At 47.5% G+C, this 22,136-nt stretch overlaps 3 annotated features.

Moving 5' to 3' along the window:
* Nucleotides 1,278–1,477: an enhancer, noted in NCBI's record as "active region_29833". NCBI's record gives its function as "activates an Ori minimal core promoter by ATAC-STARR-seq in GM12878 lymphoblastoid cells {active_cell/tissue: GM12878}" and the evidence as "EXISTENCE:reporter gene assay evidence [ECO:0000049][PMID:35858748]".
* Nucleotides 2,232–2,281: a silencer, noted in NCBI's record as "silent region_20929". NCBI's record gives its function as "represses an Ori minimal core promoter by ATAC-STARR-seq in GM12878 lymphoblastoid cells {active_cell/tissue: GM12878}" and the evidence as "EXISTENCE:reporter gene assay evidence [ECO:0000049][PMID:35858748]".
* Nucleotides 20,006–20,300: an enhancer, noted in NCBI's record as "tiled region #15331; K562 Activating DNase unmatched - State 1:Tss". NCBI's record gives its function as "activates a minimal TATA promoter and a strong SV40 promoter by Sharpr-MPRA in K562 cells {active_cell/tissue: K562}" and the evidence as "EXISTENCE:reporter gene assay evidence [ECO:0000049][PMID:27701403]".

The raw sequence follows: 22,136 nt of genomic DNA, 5'->3' as shown, positions 1-22,136 counted from the left end.
CAACAACCTTTAGGGCAAAGATTATTACCCAAGTTTTAAAGACGCAGAAACTGGAGCTCAGAGAGGTTAAGTAACTTTCCTGATGTTGCACAGCCACTAAGTGACAAAGCCTGAACTCTTTCCGCCTCACTACACTGCCTCTACTTCACCAATCTCTGCCCCGAGGCCCCATCTTTCATCTTTCTTCCTATTCTGAGCCTTTTCCCTTTTCCCCAGATGATGGACATGGCTGTCTGATGAAGACTCTAGACTGTCACAGAGCATGGTCTCAACAAGCTTAGGACCCATGTTTGCTGGGGAGAGTCTCAGCTTCAAACACTCGGGCTTGTTTCCCCATAAGTACATTCATCCTTGTCAAATATGTGTCCTGATCTTTGCTTTGGAAAATGTGGTCCACAGAAGTGAGCTGTGCTCTATTTTGACGCTGAATCTTACTCAGCTTGTGGTCAACTCCCTCCTTCACTTGGTGTTTTCCTTGTTTATTTGTGTCGAGCCAAATTATGTTGTTAGGTTTTGTCACTAACGAACCCCTTGCACTCATCCCTGCTGAATTTCACCCGGGTTTCACAGGACCTTCTTCCTCTAACCCGTCCAACTGGAAGTCCCTCCCCTCTCTGCTGTGGGTTTGGCCCCCCTCCCAACCTTCTGTCATTTTCAAGTCACTTCAGGCTTCGGAAAACTGTCTCCACCCTCCCAAAAGGTCCCATCTGGTTTCCTCCCTTCACTGCTCTGGAAACCCTACATAGGCCTCCCTGACTGGGGGAGGGAGGGCAACCTCCCTGGGAGGAGGGGCCTCCCTGAGAGGGAGTGGGGTGGGGAGGACAGGTAAAGGGAAGCAGAATCTGCTCCCCTAAATTGGTTGGGGGTGGAGGAGGATCTGGATGTGACTGGGAGTGTCTGCAGGCTGTAGCCTTTGGCTGGAACCTCTCCTAGGCCAGCTTCAGACTTAATCTGGTCCCAGGAGGGTGTCAGGGGTCCATGGACCTCTTTTTCCGATCAGAGGGATCCTTAGTCCTGGGGGACCATTTGGCAGAAGGTCCTTTAACTCAGTCCTGGCCCCTGAGTACACCCCGTTGTCTGAGCACTGCAGGCTCCCAGGCTGGTTGCTAGGTGCAGGGCTCAAACAATGTAGTGTGACAGTTCCGCAGCCCACCTCAGGGGCCTCCCCAAGCCACAAGGGTGTGGTTTGCAGTCTGGGTACATTCTGTACCCTCACTCTGGGGGCGGGTTTGTGGTTCCAAGTGCTGTGCAGCCGAGCCCCGCCCATGCCTTTCCTCTCCAGCTACAAAAACAAGCTTGACACCAAGAGGGGAGGAATTGAGAAAATAAAAAATAATAATAAAAAAAAGGCTGTTACTGTACAGCTGGTCCCTGGAGACTCCAAGGTGGCCCCGCCCCTTCCCCTTCCTCTGAAGGTTTCCCATGGGTGGAAGGCCAACAGTGTCACTGGATGTCTACTGCTGGTTCTTTCCTTCCCTTCCCATGCATTTGAATGGCTGCCTGAGCCACAGAGCAACAACCTAGAGGAGATGCCAAGCAGTGCTCTCTAGGGACTTGCTGCCACTGTCTTCCCTAGAGCCCCTGAAACAGGGCTTTCCTTTCTCTGCCAGCACTAGGCATCTCCACATTCCTCTGGCCATTGCTCTGACTGCTAGGTTCTCGGGCCTCTGCACCTTCATCGTTATTATTAGCATCGTTATATCAGCTACCACTGATTGAGGGCCTGTACGGTACTGGGTGCTTCCACCCTTTCACCATTTAATAATCACTTCATGAGGTAATCCTAGCTGATGCTTATCTCACACTTACTATTGTAAGTGCTTTGCACATCTCATTTAATCCTCAACAGTTTTGAGATGGGTCCCTGTACTGTTTTACAGCCAAGGAAACTGAAGCACAGAGAGGTTAAACACTGTGGCCAAGGTCATACTCTACTAAGTGGGAGAATCAGGATTTGAACCCAAGTCCGCTACACTTGAATCGATGATCTTTCTGCTGGACTGCCTCCATTTCCCCCCAGACAATCCTGAAAACTGGATACCTTCTATCAGTTTTTTCACTGGAGAATAGGCTAGCTAACTTGGACCTCAGAGGAGAGGACAGCTCCCTGGAGAATCTGGAAGAGGCAGGAGCGAAATTTGCTCAGTTGCAGGGATTCCCCAGGACTCCCTGGGAGTCAGGCCACACCCAGTTGCTTCTGCTGGGCTGGCGGTCTGTCTGCTCTGGAGTGGGGTGGGGTGGTGAGGTGCACACCACACACACACACACACACGCACGCACGCACGCACGCACACACGGAGGGAGGGGGGAAAGGGAGATGGGGTAGGTGAGGAAACTCACCGTCCCAGAGCTCTCTTGCCCCCTCTTCAGGCAATAAGCTCTCACTGCTGTTCCTGTCCAGGTGACCAATTTTTGCCATAGGAGGCCCTATTTTTAGACCTCAAAACCCACCACCAATGTCTGGGCTGCAAGCTCAGTGGACCAGGCTGCTGCACGGGCTGTTTTGTTTTTGTTTTCGTGGTGTTTTAAAATTTTTTACCATTTGAATCTCTTTTTTTTTTTTTTGAGATGGAGTCTCTTTCTGTCACCAGGCTGCAGTGCAGTGGCACGATCTTGGCTCACTGCAACCTCCACCTCCTGGGTTCAAGTGATTCTCCTGCCTGCCTCAGCCTCCCAAGCAGCTGGGACTACAGGCGCATGCCACCATGCCTAGCTTTTTTTTTTTTTTTTTTTTTTTTTGAGACAGAGTCTCACTCTGTTGCCCAGGCTGGAGTGCAGTGGCACGACTTCAGCTCACTGCAAGCTCCCCCTCCCAGGTTCATGCCATTCTCCTGCCTCAGCCTCCCAACTAGCTGGGACTACAGGCACCCGCCACCACGCCCAGCTAATTTTTTTTTTTTTTTTGTATTTTTAGTAGAGACGGGGTTTCACCGTGTTAGCCAGGATGGTCTTGATCTCCTGACCTCATGATCCGCCCCCCTCAGCCTCCCAAAGTGCTGGGATAACAGGCGTGAGCCACCGCGCCCAGCCTAAAAATTTTTGCCATTTGAATCATTTTTAAGTGCATAATTCAGTGACAATAAGTACATTTACATTATTCTGCAACAATTACCACTCTCCACCTCCAGAACTCTTTTCATGTTGCAAAACTCCATACCCATTAAACAATAATCCCCCCCACAAACCCGCCCCCAGAGTGAGGGTAGAGAATATACCCATTCTCCCCTCCCCCTAGCCCCTAGTAATCACCATTCTATGTTCTGTCTCTTATGAATTTGACTATTCTAGGTCCCTAATATAAGCAGAATCATGCAATATTTGTCCTTTTGTGTCTGGCTTATTCAGTTAGCATAATCTTCATGTTGTAGCATGTGCCAGAGTTTCTTTCCTTTTAAGGCTGAGTAATTGTCTACTGTATGGATATACCACATTTTGTTTATCCATTCATCCATTGATAGACACTTAAGGGTTGTTTCTACCTTTGGACTATTGTGAAGAATGCTGCTGTAAACACATTGGTGTACAAGTATCTGTCCGAGCCTCTGCTTTCAATTCTTTGGGGTATATACCTAGGAGTGGCTGTTGGGGCCGTTTGCCCATTCCCGAGGCAGCCTAGTGGTCTGGCCCCCCTCAGAAGAAAGTTGCCTTCCCAGCTTTCTGCCCCAGCTCTGCTTTGTCTCTGTGCACACAACAGCACCTCTTGGAAAAGCACCTTCTTTCACCCCACCCTACCCCCCGACCCCGTCACCAATGAGTCCCAGCACCAACTGAGTGGTGACTGGTGACTGGTGAGCCTCTCTGGGCTTCCTGTTCTATTTTTCTACCCAGTGTACTTATGGTCACATTCCCTCCCCTTGAAGACCATGTCAGTCTCTGGTTGCCCTCTTGTCAGCTCCCCAAGAGCCAGGACCACAGCCGCAATGGACTTTTAAAAGTGGGAGACAGGGCCGGGCGCTGTGGCTCACGCCTGTAATCCTAGCACTTTGGGAGGCCGAGGCGAGCTGATCACCTGAAGTCAGGAGTTTGAGACCAGCCTGGCCAACATGGTGAAACTCCATCTCTACTAAATATACAAAAATTAGCTGGGCGTGGTGGCGTGTGCCTATAATCACAGCTACCTGGGAGGCTGAGGCAGGAGAATCACTGGAACGTGGGAGGCAGAGGCTGCAGTGAGCCAAGATCATGCCACTGCACTCCAGCCTGGATGACAGAGCAAGACTCCATCTCAAAAAACAAACAAACAAAAAACTGGGAGACAGTGTGGTACAGCAGTTAAGGGCAGGGGCTCTGGAGCCAGACTGCAAGGGTTTGAATGCTGCCTTGTCTAACACCAGGCAAGCTACTTGACCTTGCCATGCCTGTGTCTCCATCTGTAAAATGGGGATAATAATAATATTTATCTCAAGTGGTTATTAGGAATTAACTGATATACACAAAGCCATCAATGCAGTACCTGGTACATAGTAACGGCTAAATAGCCAGACACAGGCACAGTGGCTCATTCCTGTAATCCCAGCACTTTGGGAGGCCGAGGCAGGTGGATCACTTGAGGTCAGGAGTTCAAGACCAGCCTGGCCAACATGGTGAAACCCTGTCTCTACTAAAAATACAAAAATTAGCCGGGCGTGGTGCTGCGCACCTGTAATCCCAGCTACTCGGGTGGCTGAGGCAGGAGAATCACTTGAACCCAGGAGGCGGAGGCTGCAGTGAGCCCAGATCGCGCCACTGCACTCTAGCCTGGGTGACAGAGCAAGACCTTGTCTCAAAAAATTAATAGCCTAAATAAATGGCAGCTGTTATTTGTTAAGTCCTCTTTCCCTTGCTGCTTCTTTGACAAAAAACATGAGGTAGATAGTGGGAGCCACCTCAGCATGTTTTTCAGGGAGGATTGCTGATGAATTTGCAGACTTCCCTCCCCACTACCCCCCTTCTCCCTGTTGATAGTCTTCTTGGGTCATTGCCCCTCCACCTGTGTGAAATGCTTTTATGAAGTTAGTGTAAACAATATAAAGAATACAATGTTTGTTTTCTTCACTCTGCAGCTCCACACATTGTAGTGATCGTGTGCTCATTACCTGGAGGTCCTGTTGTGCTCCCACTCAGGCCAAATATGGTTCAAGAAGGCTGCCAACACCAGCTGGCTTTGAGAAGCCTGTCTTTCCCTTCAGGAACTTGCTAAGTTCAGAAGGGATACATTGTTTATATCTTTCAGGGTGGGAAAGAAGAAGCCAGGCTCAGTGTATTTCTTTCTTATCAGTAAAGATAGCCATATCTAGTTTGTCCTGTTGGTTAAAGTACCATATTAATAGGGTCTATTAATAGGGTCAAGTTCATCACTTCAGTCTACTGGGCCATTCTCCAAACGTTGATTGGGCACCTGTTACAAACCAAGCACTGTGGCATACAGAGATAAACAAAATAAGATAGCTGTCCTCGAGGCACCCAGGCCAAAATAATGCAATTCTCTGAGCACTCTGAGTTTGAAAAAGCCTCCCACTGGCCAGGCGCAGTGGCTCACGCCTGTAATCCCAGCACTTTAGGAGGCCAAGGTGGGTGGATCACCTGAGGTCAGGAGTTCATGACCAGCCTGGGCAACATGGTGAAATCCCATCTGTACTAAAATACAAAAATTAGCTGGGTGTGGTGGCTGGCACCTTTAATCCCAGCTACTCAGGAGGCTGAGGCAGGAGAATCACTTGAACCCGGGAGGTGGAGGTTGCAGTGAGCAGAGATCGCGCCATTGCACTCCAGCCTGGGTGACAAGAGCGAAACGCCATCTCAAAAAAAAAGGAGGAGGAGGAGGGGGAAGGGGGATGGGGGAGGAGGAAGGAGGAAGGAGGAGGAGCAGCCACCTCCCACCACCACGCCACCAATTCTTCCAAGAGGAGTCAGGGAATACTACTTCCCAGAGACAGTTCTGAGCTGACTTTTGTCTTGACTCTTGAAAGAGTAGTTTGTCAGACCAACACCTGGCAGAGAGGATAGGGCACGCCCCCAGGGAACAGGAAGCTTGTGTGCTGAGGGTCAAAACTTCTAGGGTGCTGAGGGAGATGCCAAGGATTGGCTGTAGCTAAAGCATAAGGAGCAAGGCAGGGGTAACATGATGCAAGAAGGCCAGGGAGGCAGGACCCAGAGCATGGGGAAGTCTTTTTCTTTTTATTTCTTTTTTCTTTTTTCTTTTTCTTTCTTTCTTTCTTTCTTTCTTTTTTTTTTTTTTTTTGGAGGCAGAGTCTCTGTAGCCCAGGCTGGAGTGCAGTGGCGCAATCTCAGTTCACTGCAACCTCCACTTCCCAGGTTCAAGCAAGTCTCCTGCTTCAGCCTCCTGAGTAGCTGGGATTACAGGCACGTGCCACCACGCCCGTCTAATTTTTGTATTTTTAGTAGAGATGGGGTTTCGCCATGTTGGCCAGGCTTGTCTCGAACTCCTGACCTGAAGTGATCTGCCTGCTTTGGCCTCCCTAAGTGCTGGGGTTACAGGCATGAGCCACCATGCCTGGCTGGGGAAGTCTTTTTCTATTGTTCTTATTGTTTTCTTTGTTGTGTGACAGTTTGGACTTTATCCTGCAGATTTTCCAGCTGAGCTTCCCAGAGCACTAAAGTTCCACAGAGCTGCCTCTGTGGAACTACCCCAGTAGCTGCTGGTGGTGAGAGTGGAGGCAGGAGGGAGGAGGACAGTGGGCAGATGGGGCTGTAGGATCAACACTCCACTCCAAAAAAACCACAATTACTTTTGCACCAGCCTAATAGAATAGCTCCACTTTTACCTATGTCAAAAGGGTTTTTTTTTAAAAAAAAAACAAAAACAAAAACTTTTTTTGAGACAAGATCTCGCTCTGTCACCCAAGCTGGAGTGCAGTGGCACCATCACGGCTCACTGCAGCCTTGACCTCCTGAACCCAAGCAATCCTCCCACCTCAGCCTCATGAGTAGCTGGGACTATAGGCATGTACCACCATGCCCGGCTACTTTTTAAAAAAAATTTTTTACAGGTGGAATCTCCCTATGTTTCCCACGCTGCTCTCAAAGCAACCCTCCTGCCTCAGCCTCCAAAAGTGCTGGGATTACAGGCATGAGCCACTGAACCCATCCTTTTTATTTATTTATTTATTTATTTATTTATTTATTTATTTTTATTTTTTTTCAAGACGGAGTCTCGCTCTGTCGCCCAGGCTGGAGTGCAGTGGCGCGATCTCTGCTTACTGCAAACACCACCTCCTGGGTTCACGCCATTCTCTTGCCTCAGCCTCCCAAGTAGCTGGGAACACAGGTGCCTGCCACGACGCCCGGCCAATTTTTTTGTGTTTTTAGTAGAGACGGGGTTTCACTGTGTTAGCCAGGATGGTCTTGATCTCCTGACCTCGTGATCTGCCCGCCTCAGCCTCCCAAAGTGCTGGGATTACAGGCATGAGCCACCATGCCTGGCCTGAACCCAGCCTTTTTAAACTTTTTAAAACGTCCTATTGTTTCAAAAAATCACCACCCACACACGTTTTAAAAATTTATATTGTGGACAATGGGCATATGTTAAAGAATTTGGAGTAGGGGAGTTGATATATTTGACTTAAATATGTATCTGACTGTTATATGGAGAATGAATTATAAGAGGGCATGATTGAAGGCAGAAACCAATGAGAAGTCCAGGAAAGAAAATGAGGTGGCTTAGACTGGGGTGAAAGCTATGGAAGTGGTGAGAAGTGATGGGAATAAGCCTATGTTGAAGTAGAATTGGCAGGATGCAGTGATGGATTGGGGTGCAGGAGGTAAGGAGAAGATGTCAAGGATGACTTCTAGGTTTACTGCTTAAGGCCACTTGTTGAGTGTCATTTCCTAAGGTGGGGAAGTCTGATTTGGGCAAAACTTGAGTTCAGTTTTGGCTAGATTTTTTTGGGATATCAGTGAGACATCCAAGTGGAAATGTCATGTAAGTGGTTGGCTGTATGAGTCTGGAGTTGAGAGAAGAGGTGTGGAGTGGTGCTGGGAATCGGGATTCATCATCAATGAAACTGAATGAGGTTGCCTGAGGACTGAGTGCAGGTAGAGAAGAAGAGGGAATCTGGGGACTAAGTCCTGGGACATTGCAATGTTTAGAGAGCTGAATGATTAGAAGGGCTTGGCAAAGGAGAGTGAGGAACAGCAGCCAGTGAGGTAGGAAATCCAGGAAAGTGTGAAGGAGTTCCAAAAGCCCAGTGAGAAAAGAGTTTCAAGAAGGACTGAGTGATCAGTGGAACAAATGGTGCTAAGAAGCATAGTGATAGACAATTGACCATTGGGATTGGTAAACTGGAGGAAATCAGGGACCTTGACAAGAACAGCTTTTGTGAAGTGATAGGGATGGAAGCTAGATTGGAATGGGTTGAAAATGAACAGATTAAAAAAGAAGAGTGGCCAGGTGTGGTGGCTCATGTCTATAATCCTGGTGCTTTGGGAGGCCAAGGTGAGAGGATCACTTGAGGCCAGGAGTTCAAAACCAACCTGGGCAATATAGCGAGACCCCTAGTCTCTACAAAAAAAAATAAAATAAAAATTAGCCAGGTGTGGTGGCTCATGCCTGGGTCCAGCTACACAAGAGGCGGAGGCAAAAAAAAAAAAAAAAGTAAATGGGAAGTAAAACATTGAAGCCATGCGTGTAGACAATTATTTTAAGAGTTGTGTCTTGTTTTAGGAGGGTGGAAATAAGTTCAGTTTGAGGCAGGTTGAATCTGAGATACCTATAAGACGTCCAGACAGAGTGTCCAGTTAGGCAGATAGATATACAGCCCTGAAGCACAGGAGAAAAATAGGGCCTTTGTAGATACAGATTGGCAAGTCAGTCATTCAATAGGTAATCACTGAAGCTCTGGGATCTGATGAGTTGGAAGGAAGACAGTTATGGTGGTGAATAAAGATACACAGCCAAGTGCAGTGGCTCATTCCTGTAATCCCAGCACTTTTGAGGCCAAGGCTGGAGGACTGCTTGAGGCAAAGACTTCCAGACCAGCCTGGGAAACATAGGGAAACTCCACCTCTATAAAAAATAAAAAATCTAGCCTGGTGTGGTGGTGCATGCCTGTAGTCCCAGCTACTTGGGAGGCTGAGGTGAGAGGATTGCTTGGGCCTGGGAGGTCAATGAACAGTGAGCCGTGATCATACTACTGCACTTCAGCTTGGGTGACAGAGCGAGACCTCATCTCAAAAAAAAAAAAAAAAAATACAGAGAATTGGGTGGAGCAAGTTAAAAGTTGAGGAAATTCCTGGCTGATGACCTGATAGGAGCTAGTTAGATTTATTCTATCCTAAAGACTTAAAGCCGGTCCATGAAAGGCAGGTGGGAAGACTTTTTGAGACCCAAGGCTGTGAGGGAATTAAGAGCTTTATGGTGAAGATGAGTCTGAATGTGGCCTAATTATTGACACTTTATGATCTGGAATCCAATTGTGTGAATGAGGTCATCACTGTATCAAGATACAAAATTAATCACTCAAGTTTTAAAAGAAAATGTAGGGCCAGGTGTAGTGGTTGCACACCTGTAATCCCAGCACTTTGGGAGGCCAAGGTGGGCAGATTGCTTGAGCTCAGGAGCTGGACACCAGCTTAGGCAACATGGCAAAACCCTGTCTCTACAAAAAATACAAAAATTAGCTGGGCATGGTGGCATGCACCTGTAGTCTCAGCTACTTGGGAGGCTGAGGGGGGCGGATCACTTGGGCCCAGGAGATCGAAGCTGCCAACATCACCATTGTACTCCAGCTTGGGTGACAGACCCTGTATTTAAAAAAAAATGTGCATTATAACACCATTTGTATAAAATTTTTAAAACCTCAGAAATTGGGCCAGGAGTGGTGGCTCACGCCTGTAACCCCAGCACTTTGGGAGGCCAAAGCGGGTGGATCATTTGAAGCCAGGGGTTTGAGACTAGCCTGGTCAACATAGCCAAACTATCTTTAGTAAAAATACAACAATTAGCTGGGTGTGGTGGTGCACTCCTGTAGTCCCAGCTACCCTGGAGGCTGAGGCACAAGAATCGCTTGAACCCAGGAGGTGGAGGTTGCAGTGAGCTGAGATCACATCACTGCACTCCAGCCTGAGTGACAGAGTGAGACCTTGTCTCAAAAAACAAAAACAAAACAGAAATAATGGATGCCAAAAAAATCTCAGAAATCAATATTATATTTATGGATATATACTATGTAGTAAAGGTATGAAACCATACCATAGGAAGGACCCTCACCAACTACCAACTTGAGGATAATGGTTGCCAATGGGGAGGGTAAAAGGGGAATGGATGGGGAGAATGCTAATCGTGTTTGCAATGTTTTCTTTCTTCTTTTTTTAAAAAAGGATCTAGGTCAAGACCAGCCTGGCCAACATGATGAAAGCTCGTCTCTACTAAAAATACACACACACACAAAAAACAAAAACAAAAAACTAGCCACGCGTGGTGGTGGGCGCCTGTAATCCCAGCTACCCGGGAGGCTGAGGCAGAGAATTGCTTGAACCTGGGAGGCGGAGATTGCAGTGAGCTGAGATCGCGCCATTGCACTCCAGCCTGGGCGACACAGCGAGACTCTGTCTCCAAAAAAAAAAAAAAAAAAAAAAGATCTAGGGTAAATATGACAAAAAGTGAACATCTGTTAAATCTGGGTTGTGACTTCATAAAGTGCTTATTATGATGGTGCCAACCTCACTGGGATGTTGTGAAGAATGAGATAATCAATCTAAAGTGCTTTGAACAGGCCGGGCATGGTGGCTCACGCCTGTAATCCCAGCACTGTAATGGTCTCAAAATAAGTAAATAAGTGCTTTGAACAGGACTGGTACATATAGACCCAGTAAGTATGAATCATTAGAATCAGCTGTTATTGTTTCTATACTTTGTTTCAAGGGTTTCTGAATCAAACATATTTAAAACCAAAAATAGCAACTCCATGTAAAAAGGCCACTATTAACTGCTGAGCACGTTCAGCTCAGATAGGACTATCAGGAAAACAGTAAAATGACATTTATTACGAGTCACTTGATCTAACTGCAGTGAGAAATGGACAATGCTGCAGAGGCATCAAAAGGAAATGCAGGCGGGGCACCATGGCTCACACCTGTAGTCCCAGATATTCTGGAGGCTGAGGTGGGAGAATTGCTAGAGCCCAGGAGGTTAAGGCTATAGTGTGCTATGACCACAACTGTGAACAGCCACTGCACTGCAGCTTGGACAACATAGAGACAACCCTCTTAGTTTTAGTTTTTTTTGTTTTGTTTTGTTTTGTTTTTTAAAAAAAAAGGCCAGGCATGATGGGTCACGCCTGTAATTTCAGCACTTTGGGAGGCCGGGGCCAGTGGATCACTTGAGGCCAGGAGTACGAGACCAGCCTGGGCAACATGGTGAAACCCGGTCTCTACTAAAAATACAAAAATTAGCCCGGCATGGTGGCGCATGCCTGTAATCCCAGCTACTTGGGAGACTGAGGGAGGAGAACTGGTTGAATCTGGGAGGTGGAGGTTGCAATGAGCTGAGATTGTGCCATCGCACTCCAGCCTGGGCGACAGAGCTATACTCCATCTCAAAAAAGAAAAAAAAAGCATGGTCCAGGGAACAGACAGGACTTGCTTGATGTTGCCTAGCCACTCAGTGGCAGGTGGGGGAACAGACAGAACTTGCGTGCCCTAATTTTTCTGTAGGGCCTTCATGCTTTTTTCACGACCACTCTGCCTTCCTGGCCCTTCAGACTCTAAGCTCTTCACCTTGGAAACAAGGTTAGCTGCCCTGGGATGCTGCTCCCTTCAAAAGAATTCATCTCCTCTATGCAATACATCATCTCATCAGCCTCCACAGGAGTTTTTTTTTTTTGAGACGGAGTCTCACTCTCACCCAGGCTGGAGTGCAGTGGCGTGATCTCAGCTCACTGCAAACTCTGCCTCCCAGGTTCAAGCAATTCTCCTGCCTCAGCCTCCTGAGTAGTTGGGATTACAGGTGTGCACCACCATGCCTGGCTAATTTTTGTATTTTCAGTAGAGATGGGGTTTCACCATGTTGGCCAGGCTGGTCTCCAACTCTTGGCCTCAAGTTGATCCACCCGCCTTGGCCTCCCAAAGTGTAGGGATTACAGGCGTGAGCCATCACGCCTGGCCCCTGGAGTTTTGCCCAGGTTGGTCCAGAGAGGTAGCCTTCTTTTATGATGGCTCTGCTCTAGCAGCATGCATTACTGAACCTTGGAAAGACAGAGAACAGTCCTAATATGTAGCCAAGGGCCTGAGTTTTCAGTCCTAGAATGATCAAAGCAAGCATCTGATGGCTACACATGATGCATATGGAGGTGAGGATGTGGGCCGGGGGGTGGGGGGTGGGGGCATTGCAAGCAGTAGCGGACCTGCAAGGCCCAAGAGCAATGAGGGGCCAGATAGGACAAAAGGTTGAAGGGGAGAGTAGTTGCCAGACAGGCCAGCGGGGAGCACCAGGAAGCCGCTGAGAGGATACGATGGGGGTTAAGAGAGGGTGGGTGGAGACTGAAGGTAGTGAGCTGCTGAGCCAGGCAGTTATTTAATTACTCCAACTTTGCCTTTTTTCAGAAGTGATTTCAGGTAGCTTGCCAGGGCACACAAGGTATGTCAAGGCAGCATAAATTAAAGATAGAAAAGCAGGGGAGGGTGGACACAAAATACGGCCAAGCATCAGGCTACAGATACATACCATAAAAACCTCTGCTCCCACAAAGGGTGGGCCAAAAAGTTGGCTCTAACTAAAGCTTTCTAGCAGCCAACAGGGAAGGGGAAACCTTGTTGTTATACAATTCACAATGTCCAGGAGATAAAAACAAACGAATCGCTCAGAAGGGCAAGTGTTTTCAGTACTAAGATCAGACAGGAATTCCTCCCGGGGGTCCTCAGAGACGATACTGTGGGATACAATGAACAACATCCTTGACAACATCCTTTCAATAGCGGTAGCAACAAGTTTCAAAGGGCTGTTTTTCATAAGGACCCTCAGGATCAACTGCCTGTATCCCACCGCAGCCAGGCAATTAGGAGCTAAAAATAGCATGTGAAGATACAGAGCAGTGTGTCTAGTATGTTCACATTGGAGGGAAATGAGAGGGTTATATATAGGTATGCATATGCATGGAACTCCTCTGGAAGAATACATTGGTAACAGTGGTTGCCTCTAGGGAGAGGAAGTGGAGGACTGTGCCCTGGGATAGGAGAGAGACTTCCTTTTCATCGTATACAATTTTATACTGCCTGGATTTTTGTTAACCATGGCTTATTTTTTCAATAAAAGCATTGGTTACTAAAATAATAATGGCATTCAGGGATCAGAAGGTCAGCTGGATTTTCTCTCTGAGCCACAGCCAGGCTGAGGATGTCTAAAGTTATCCTTGATGTTTCAGGAAAGAAGGAAAGTAACATTTATTGAGCAACTCCTGGATGCTAAGGGGCTTTCATTGACATGATCTTATTTAATCCACACAATAAGGTGCCTCGTAGACAATCAGCTCAGTTTGCCTGGAGCACACACATGAATTACACTGTTTAGTTTTCTTCCTGCAATTGGCATTTAAAAGAAATGAGCAATTAGGAAGAAAACAAGCAGCTATGGGGAATTAAAGAAAGCAGTTGTCAATGGGAGGGACTACCCATGAACTACCCACTCAGCTCAGCCTCTTCAACTTACTTTTCCCCCATCTCCTTGTCTGGGCTAATGGTGTTCAGACTGACAATCTTATGGTGGCCAGACCTCAGTCAGAAAATCAAGATTCACCCACAGTCAGGGCAGCCCGATCAAAACCAGGATGCACAGGTGAATTTGAATCTCAGAAAAAGAACGTTTTGGTATATGTCCCCAGTGTTGCATAGCTTTGTGACCATCTGGTGGCAGTGAAAATCCCAGCTCTGTACTGGCCTTTTCTGAAACCTGGTGGGAGATTGGAAATACCTTCTTGTAACCTGGCTTCCCACTTGGCCCTTGCTGACATGGGTGGGGTGGGGCCAGTTGGCTTTGTGGTGTTTGGTTATTGTCTAAAGGTTTTATGTCTTGATAGGCTGCCTCTTGCCTGGTCCTTTCCCTAGAGAGAGCCAGATTTTGTTAGGGCTTTTTTTGTGTGTACCCACTGGAGTTTCTGGGTAGCCAGTCTCTCTAGAACCCAGTCTGGGATATGTGAGGCAAAAAGAAAACCCGGGGAACTCACTGCCTCAGGTCCTGAGGTCTCTACTGGATCTGCCTTCTCTCCATCTTTCGGAGTCTTATGGTTCAATATATAATGTCCAGACCTGTTATCTGACATCCTATATTTTTATTTTCTTTAAAAAAAAAATTTTTTTTTGAGACTGAGTCTCACTCTGTTGCCCAGGCTGGTGTGCAGTGGCGTGATCTCAGCTCACTGCAACCTCTGCCTCCCAGGTTCAAGTGATTCTCCTGCCTCAGCCTCCTGAGTAGCTGGGATTATAGGTGTCTGCCACTATGCCCAGCTAATTTTTTTTTTTTGAGACAGAGTTTCGCTCGTTGCCCAGGCTGGAGTGCAATGGCGTGATCTCGGCTCACTGCAACCTCTGCCTCCCAGGTTCAAGCGATTCTCCTGCCTCAGCCTCCCAAGTAGCTGGGATTACAGGGATGCACCACCATGCCCGGCTAATTTCTTTTTTGTATTTTTAGTAGAGACAGGGTTTCTCCACGTTGGTCAGGCTGGTCTCAAACTCCCGATGTTAGGTGATCTGCCCGCCTTGGCCTCCCAAAGTGCTGGGATTACAGGCGTGAGCCACCGCGCCAGGCCCATGCCCAGCTAATTTTTGTATTCTTAGTAGAGACGGGGCTTCACTATGTTGGTTGGCCAGGCTGGTCTCGAACTCCTGACCTCAAGTGATCTGCCTGCCTCAGCCTCCCAAAGTGCTGGGATTACAGGCGTCAGCCACTGCACTCGGCCTTTTTTTTAATTTTTGTTTTTTTGAGATGGAGTCATGCTCTGTCACCCAGGCTGGAGTGCAGTCGTGCGATCTCAGCTCACTGCAACTTCTGCTGCCCAAGTTCAAGTGATTCTCCCGGCTCAGCCTCCTGAGTAGCTGGGATTACAGGCATGTGCCACCATGCCTGGCTAATTTTTGTATTTTTAATAGAGATGGGGTTTCGTCATGTTGGCCAGGCTGGTCTCAAACTCCTGACCTCAATTGATCCGCCCACCTCAGCCTCCCAAAGTGTTGGGATTACAGGCGTGAGCCACCGCGTCTGGCCTGTATTTTTATTTTCTAAATCTGGCAACTCTATCCAGGATCCCTATTACCAGCTGAGGGAGCAAAGAGGATTTGGGAATTTTGGATGAATTTTCGACCACAAAGGGTGGAACAGCAAGAAGCTTCTGCTCAACCCCTATTAACTCAGGAAATCCAGGGTTTTTTTTAGGGAATTAAGCTGACTGGCCAATTTTCTTGCCTATTTATGTTAATCAAAGTTTTGCTGTGCTTCTAGAACCTTGGCAAACTTTCCTTCCCATATATTTGCCAGTGACATTGAGTTTGTGCTAATGAGGCCCTCTGCTGTCTGCAGAGAGAAGGGCAATTTCATAAATCTAGAGGCTGTAGCAAATTTCTCTGCAGAGGAACAAGGTGGATCAGGAGTTCATAAATTACATTCAATTATGAGAGTAGCTGATCCCAAAACTTTGTGGAACTGTAATGCCCTAGATCTGTTTAATTTCAAGATACTGTATCCTCACAGAAATGTGACATAGTTTGAAAATGAAGGTTATGTCAAACTGTATTTGGACATTTGGTGACAAGCTCTCCCAGGAACCCCCAAATTGGGGTACTGGGAGCCATCTCGGGACTTCACTGAGGCAGCCTGGGCATAGCAGTCAGTGGCATTTGCCAAAGGGAAGAAAGGGCTCACAGAGGCCGAGCTAGGATGTGCACCTGTGCTAGCCCAGAGCCCTCCAGGGCCCTTACTCCACCATACTGAGAGGGAAGTAGAATAGTGTTCAAACTATGGGGCCAAGTGAACCTCAACCCGTAGAGAGGGGCTGGCTTTCCCATCATCATTGCTTTCTGCTCCATCCAGGCCTTTGCTGATGGAGTCCTGAGTAGGGGCACAAAGGGAGGCAGAGAGAGGTGGTGGGAGCTGTCACACCGCATACTCCCAGGAAGTACTGAGAAGGACACCACCCACAGTACAGCCACTCTCCTCCTTGGAGCTTTTCCTTCCCTCCCTTCAACCCAGGAGAACAAACTTACAAAAAGTACTTACTCCCTAGTCCTCCCCTGAAGGGAGGAAGGAAGGGAACTAACACTTACTGAGTGCCAGGAACCTTATCAGGTAATTTACATAATTTATATCATTTAGTGTTCACAGTAGCCTTAATAATAATAATAAGGATAGTAACACTTACCCTTGTTTGAGGGCTGGCTTATATGCCAAGCACCGCTGTTCACTTCATCCTTCACCACGTAATTCCTCCCTCTCTTCATCTCTCTCTCTCTGCTTTTCTTTGTTCCTACTTCCTTCTTTTCTTTCTCCTTCCTTCCTTTCTCCTTTTTTCCCTCCCTCCCTCCTTCCTTTCTCCTTCCTTCCTTCCGTTCTTTCCTTCTTTCCTTCTCTCCTTCCTTCTTTCCTTCCTTCTCTCCTTTCTCTTTCCTTCTCTCTTTCCTTTCTCTTCCTTCTCTTTCCTTCTTTCTCTTTCCTTTCCCTCCCTCCCTCTCTCCCTTCCTTCCTTCCCTTCCTTCCTTCCTTCCTTCCTTCCTCAGGGTCTCACTCCGTTGCCCAGGCTGAAGTGCAGTGGCATGATCATGGCTCACTGCGGCCTTGAGCTCCTAGGCTCAAGCAATCCTCCCACCTTAGCCTCCTGAGTAGCTGGGACTAACTAACATGTGCACCACCTTGCCTGGATAATTAAAAATATATATTTTGTAGAGACAGGCTCTTACTATGTTGCCCAAGCTGGTCTCAAACTCCTGGCCTCAAGCAATTCTCCTGCCTCGGTCTCCCAAAGAGCTAGGATTACAAGCCTGAGCCACCATGCCCAGCCTGAGTTGTTTCTCCTAAACCTCACAACATCATGCCGAGGTCAGTGCTGTTATTACCTTGTTATAGATCATACAGCCAAGAAGTTATAGAGCTGGGATTTGAAATCAGGTTCAACTCCAAATCCCATACTCTTAACCACTACATTGCACTTCTGGGAATTAATGTAATTCAAATTTGAATCAAGGTCTGTGAAGAACTTTCTAACCTAAGGTGCCTAGGTGAGGAAGTCAGACAGATGTGCAAGAACCCATATGCACACACACAGTCTGGAAAGAACTTTGAGCCAGAGTGGGTCTCAAGCTGTCAGTGCCCACTGCTAAGCAGGCCAGGTAAACGCCTCCAGGCAATGATTACTCTTGTGTGTAGTAAAGTAGTGGCTGGAAGAGGACAAGAGGGGACTTCTGGTTTTTTATCTGGATGACAGGTATGTTCAGTGTCTGAAAATTCATTGAGCTATAATTTTTTTTTCTTTTGAGATAGGGTCTTGCTCTGTCACCAAGGCTGTAGTGCAGTATCATGATCTCAGCTCACTGCAGCCTCAACCTCCTGGGCTCAAGCAATCCTCCCAGCTCAGCCTCCTAAGTAGCTGGGACCATAGGCACATGTCACCACACCTGGCTAATTTTTTAAGATTTTTTGTAGAGATGGGGTTTCACTATGTTGTCCAAGCTGGTCTTGAACTCCTGGGCTCAAGCGATCCTCCCGCCTCAGCCTCCCAAAATGCTGGGATTATAGGCATGAGCCACCGCACCCAGCTTAGCTATAAATGTAAGCATTGTGCACTTTCTGCTTTTTTAAAGGCATGTAACATTCTAGGAAGATAAAGTAGTTCCTTGTGGTGAGTTCCTTGGGTTTTCACTTTTTTTTCTTTTTTGGGTGTGCTTTTTGCCTCCTATATCCCTGACTTGGAGCTGAAGAAGCTGACAACATGGAAATGCCAATGGGTTTAGACCAAAACAAAGTCTTCTCTCTCAGCAAAGGACCAGAAAAAGGGCAGCCTAGAAAGAACGTTTTAAATGCTGATCACTCCATTGTAGCTACACGCCACAAGGAAAATTGTGTCCCGCCCCGCACCAGCAAAGCCTGAGTGGAGAGCAGGGACTTCATGTAACGAGACACCCACCTGCAGCCCCTGCTGGGGTAGGTGTCAGAGAAGTCCAAGTAGGAAGCTGGGACTTTCTTCCCCGCTGAATGGTAACAATATCCTGCCTCCAGTGGTGTCTGTGGAGACCACGTGGAGAGGCTGGACTTCCACCCCTACTAGGCTGTAATAAGGCAAGCCTCCCCTTCCTTGCTGGGGTGGTGTCAGAAGATATAGAGGAATGTTGATTTGACCACCACCTAGCAGTAAGAAGATCACCAGATTATGGGTGAGGCTTCTTACACATATCTCCCAAATTTTCTGTGATGCTGTTGTAAAATATCTATAATTGTTAAAAGACCCATTTTTTTTTCCTTTAGACTCTAAAGTTTAGAGTCTTTTTTTAAAGAAGGAGACATGGTCTCATTGTGTTGCCCAGGCTAGATTTGAACTCCTGGGCTCAAGCAATCCTTCCATCTTAGCCTCCCAAGTAGCTGGGATTACAGGCACTAGAGCCTTCTTTGTTGGCTTCTATTTTTCTCCTTTAGATATCTCATAACCCAAATTTATATCTTCTGCATTTAATACACTTAATTTCTTCACTGTTCCCTAGCTTTCCTTCCATTCCATAACCTCTCCCACTGTGTCCTTGTCCTCTTAAGACAAACACCCAGGATATTTAAGGCTGGCCTAGTTTACAGCCCCGTTGCTTCAGCTTCTTGACTATCTGAAGATGGCATTTGGGCAAAAATGTATTGATGATCAAAACCTCTACTAGCTACAATGGCTGCCTGTTCAGTCCTCCTGGTGAGGTCCCTCAGGCACCTTAAACTTAGCAGTTCCTAAACTTCAGCCTCATCTCCTGTGCTGCTCAGTACCAGCATCCATCAGTCACTCAGGCCAGAAAAATGTAAGTTGTCCTTGACTCCTCCCTCTCTTCCAATCCCTACATTGAAATATCACCAACTTCTGTTGAATTTTCCTCCAAAATATATTGTAAATTGTTCTTCTGTCCCACCAGCACTTTTCTCACCTCAGCCACCTTCCTCTCCCACTTGGGCAACGCACAGCTTCCTAACCAAACTCCTTCCTCTACATTTGCCCCTTCCCAACCCATTCTTCACATTACTGCCAGTCTATTTTAAAATCAAAATCTCATCCTGTTGATGCCCTGTTTAAAATGCTCAATGGCTCCTCTTCACTCCTAGGATAAAATTCAAACTCCCTAGTGTGTCTTACAATTAGGGTTCCTGTATAATTTACTACCAAAATCAGGACCCTTTTGAGAGTGAAGGGGGTTGCTGGTAATAAGTATGCAGGGACAATAGACATATGTACACTCTCCTTATACAGTCCCTTATGATCTAGTCTCACCAGCCCACCCCTCATCACAGCTCTTCATCCTACCCGAAAATACACACACACACACCCCCCCCCCACACACACACACACCCACACACACACACACGCCACTTCCTTTGGGGTGTCCAGGTAAACGTGCTATTCTGCCTGCCTGAAACACCCTTCTCTTCACTCGCTCTTTGGCCAACTTCCAGTCAACTACTTCAAAAGTCAAAGTATTTTTCTCCAGGAAGTCTTTCCTGACTCCCAAGGCTGGCTTGGGTGCCCCCCCGCAACCCCCACACTCCCATAGCATTTTGTTCTTCCCTCATCATAGTACTTATCACACCACATTGTAATTACCCATTTCCCTATCTGTTTCTTCCTCTACATCAAGTGCATCTCAGCGTCAAGGACCACGTTAGGCCGCTTCTGCATTCCTAGCGTCTAGCACAGTGCTTGGTGTGTGAAAATGCACTGAGCTATGCCCTTAGGGCGTGCACACATTCCTGTCTGCTGAATGAGTGTGGACTGGGCACGGTGTTGTCCCGTGGTTGCGGAGGACATACAGGGGAAGAGGGGGCCAGGAGGACCGACAGGTGCCACTCCTTCCACTGCTGCCACTCCTTCCACTGCTGGAGCCCCCAGTCCTGTTGCCCTGGGTGCCCCTTCCCTCCATCCTCTCTGCTAGGCGCCCCCTAGTGGCAGATGGACAGCAGTGACAGGCCCTGTGAACCAGGTGGCGGCGGCAGGAAAGGAAGCGAGTGTGTGCGCGTGGAGGGGGAGGGGGTGTCCTCAGCCAGGAGGCAGCTGTGCAGCCAGTCCTAGGGAAAGCTGGGATGAGGCTTTAGCCAGGGAAGCCCGCCCGTCACCGTGCTCCTTCTCTGCCTCACTGCAGCCCCTCCCACACCACAAAGTCCCCGCCCATTGTTATCATTAGAGGCTCTACCCCAAGAACTTTGAGGGCGATGACTAAAATTGGGCTGTGTGGCTCCAGGCTGCTTACAAGCGGGAAAATCTCTGCTCAGCATATTACCCAGGAGGAATGGATTGGTCAGACCTGGCTGGCCTGTTTTGTTTTATATTCAAACCCTGAATCAGAGCCACACCATGAGTGAGCTCATGGCAACTCTATGGGTGAAGCAACAAGAACCCAGCCGCAGCAGTTAGTGGACACGCCAGAGGGGGGAGGGGTGGGGACTTGGCTAAGAAGATAAAATCTTGAGCCAGTCAGAAAACAACAACAAAAAACACAATGGGGCTGAGGGAATAAGGCCTATTGTCACCCTGTACAGTTTCAGCTATTTTTGCTTCAAAATGAGCTTCCCCTTATTTTTTATAGTTGGCAGCTGAGCTATTGGAGGAATGAATATATTGGGGAAGAAAAGCTCAGGAAAGGGGAAGGATGGGGAGAGAAGTCTGACTGTCAGTGGAGAGTCTCTGGTTTTCCTTAGGGCACGGGGTGGGGGGACAGTAGACCAAGGAGTGGGCATACAGTAGCCCATGAGCAGTGAGGACTAGGGAAGGAGGAGCCACACCCACATGGGCAGGTTTCTGAGTCTCAGGCTCATTCCTGCCTCAGCCTCCCAAAGTGCTGGGATTACAGGTGTGAGCCACCGCACCCACACACTATTTTATTTATTTATTTCCTGGCTCCTAGAACTGAACACTTATTTTAAAAAATAACTTTATAGGACGGGCACGGTGGCTCACGCCTGTAATCCCAGCACTTTGGGAGGCTGAGGCAGGTGGATCACTTGAGGTCAGGAGTTCAAGACGAGCCTGACCAACATGGTGAATCCCCATCTCTACTAAAAATACAAAAATTAGCCAGGTGTGGCGGCGGGCACCTGTAATCCCAGCTTCTTAGAAGGCTGAGGCACGAGAATCACTTGAACCTGGGAGGCGGAGGTTGCAGCGAGCCGAGGTTGCACCACTGCACTCCAGCCTGGGCTAAAGTGAGACTCTGTCTTAAACCCAAACTTTAAAACTTTATAGCAACAAATAGCAGTTGAAGAGTTGTAAAGAGTCAAGTAAATGTTATAAACACAAAAAGAAATGCTCGAGCCAAGATTTTACAGAGTATCAAGCTTTATCTGCCATAATTTGGAGCACAATTTGCTTTATTCTTAAACAAGGAGTCTCAGAGTGGTAAAAAAAAAAAAAAAAAAAAAAAAATCTGCAAGAGAAAAACAAGTCTCCAAACACAGTGGAGGCAAAGCAGAGGGGGAATCTCTGGCTGTAGCACTCTTGCTTTTTAAACCACCACTGCCAAGACAGAAGCCACTTGTTTCAAACAGCAGCATCCATTCTATGTCATACCCCCTCACCTCCCTGCATTCTCAGGACCAGAGAAGAAGCTCAGCAACTCTGTAAGTTGGTGCCTCTATAAAAGATTTTTTTCATCTAAGTTGGGGCTGCTAGTCCTGGTCTTCTTTCCAGATTTGGATACCAAGTGTTTTCTGCTGAAAGTGTTAACTTGTATACTAATCGCATGTAGCCCTTAACAACCTGAAGGCATTAAAATCATAAAAAGCCTGAAATCCCAGAAAAGCATCATTTTCCTATTGCCATGCCCTCCTGCCATCTCATCCTTACTAGTTCTCAGTTGTGGGGGAGAACAAAGAGGCCTCTTAAAGGGAATCTGGTTATTGGAGGCACCTACCTTACAAAAAACTTGAAGTGAGGCTGAGGGGAGGAAGCTTTGCATTACTGCCCTGGGGACCACCACTCATA

This window comes from Homo sapiens, chromosome X (assembly GCF_000001405.40).
Source record: "Homo sapiens chromosome X, GRCh38.p14 Primary Assembly".
Classification (NCBI taxonomy): Eukaryota; Metazoa; Chordata; class Mammalia; order Primates; family Hominidae; genus Homo; species Homo sapiens.
This window is presented reverse-complemented; position numbering and strand designations above follow the sequence as displayed.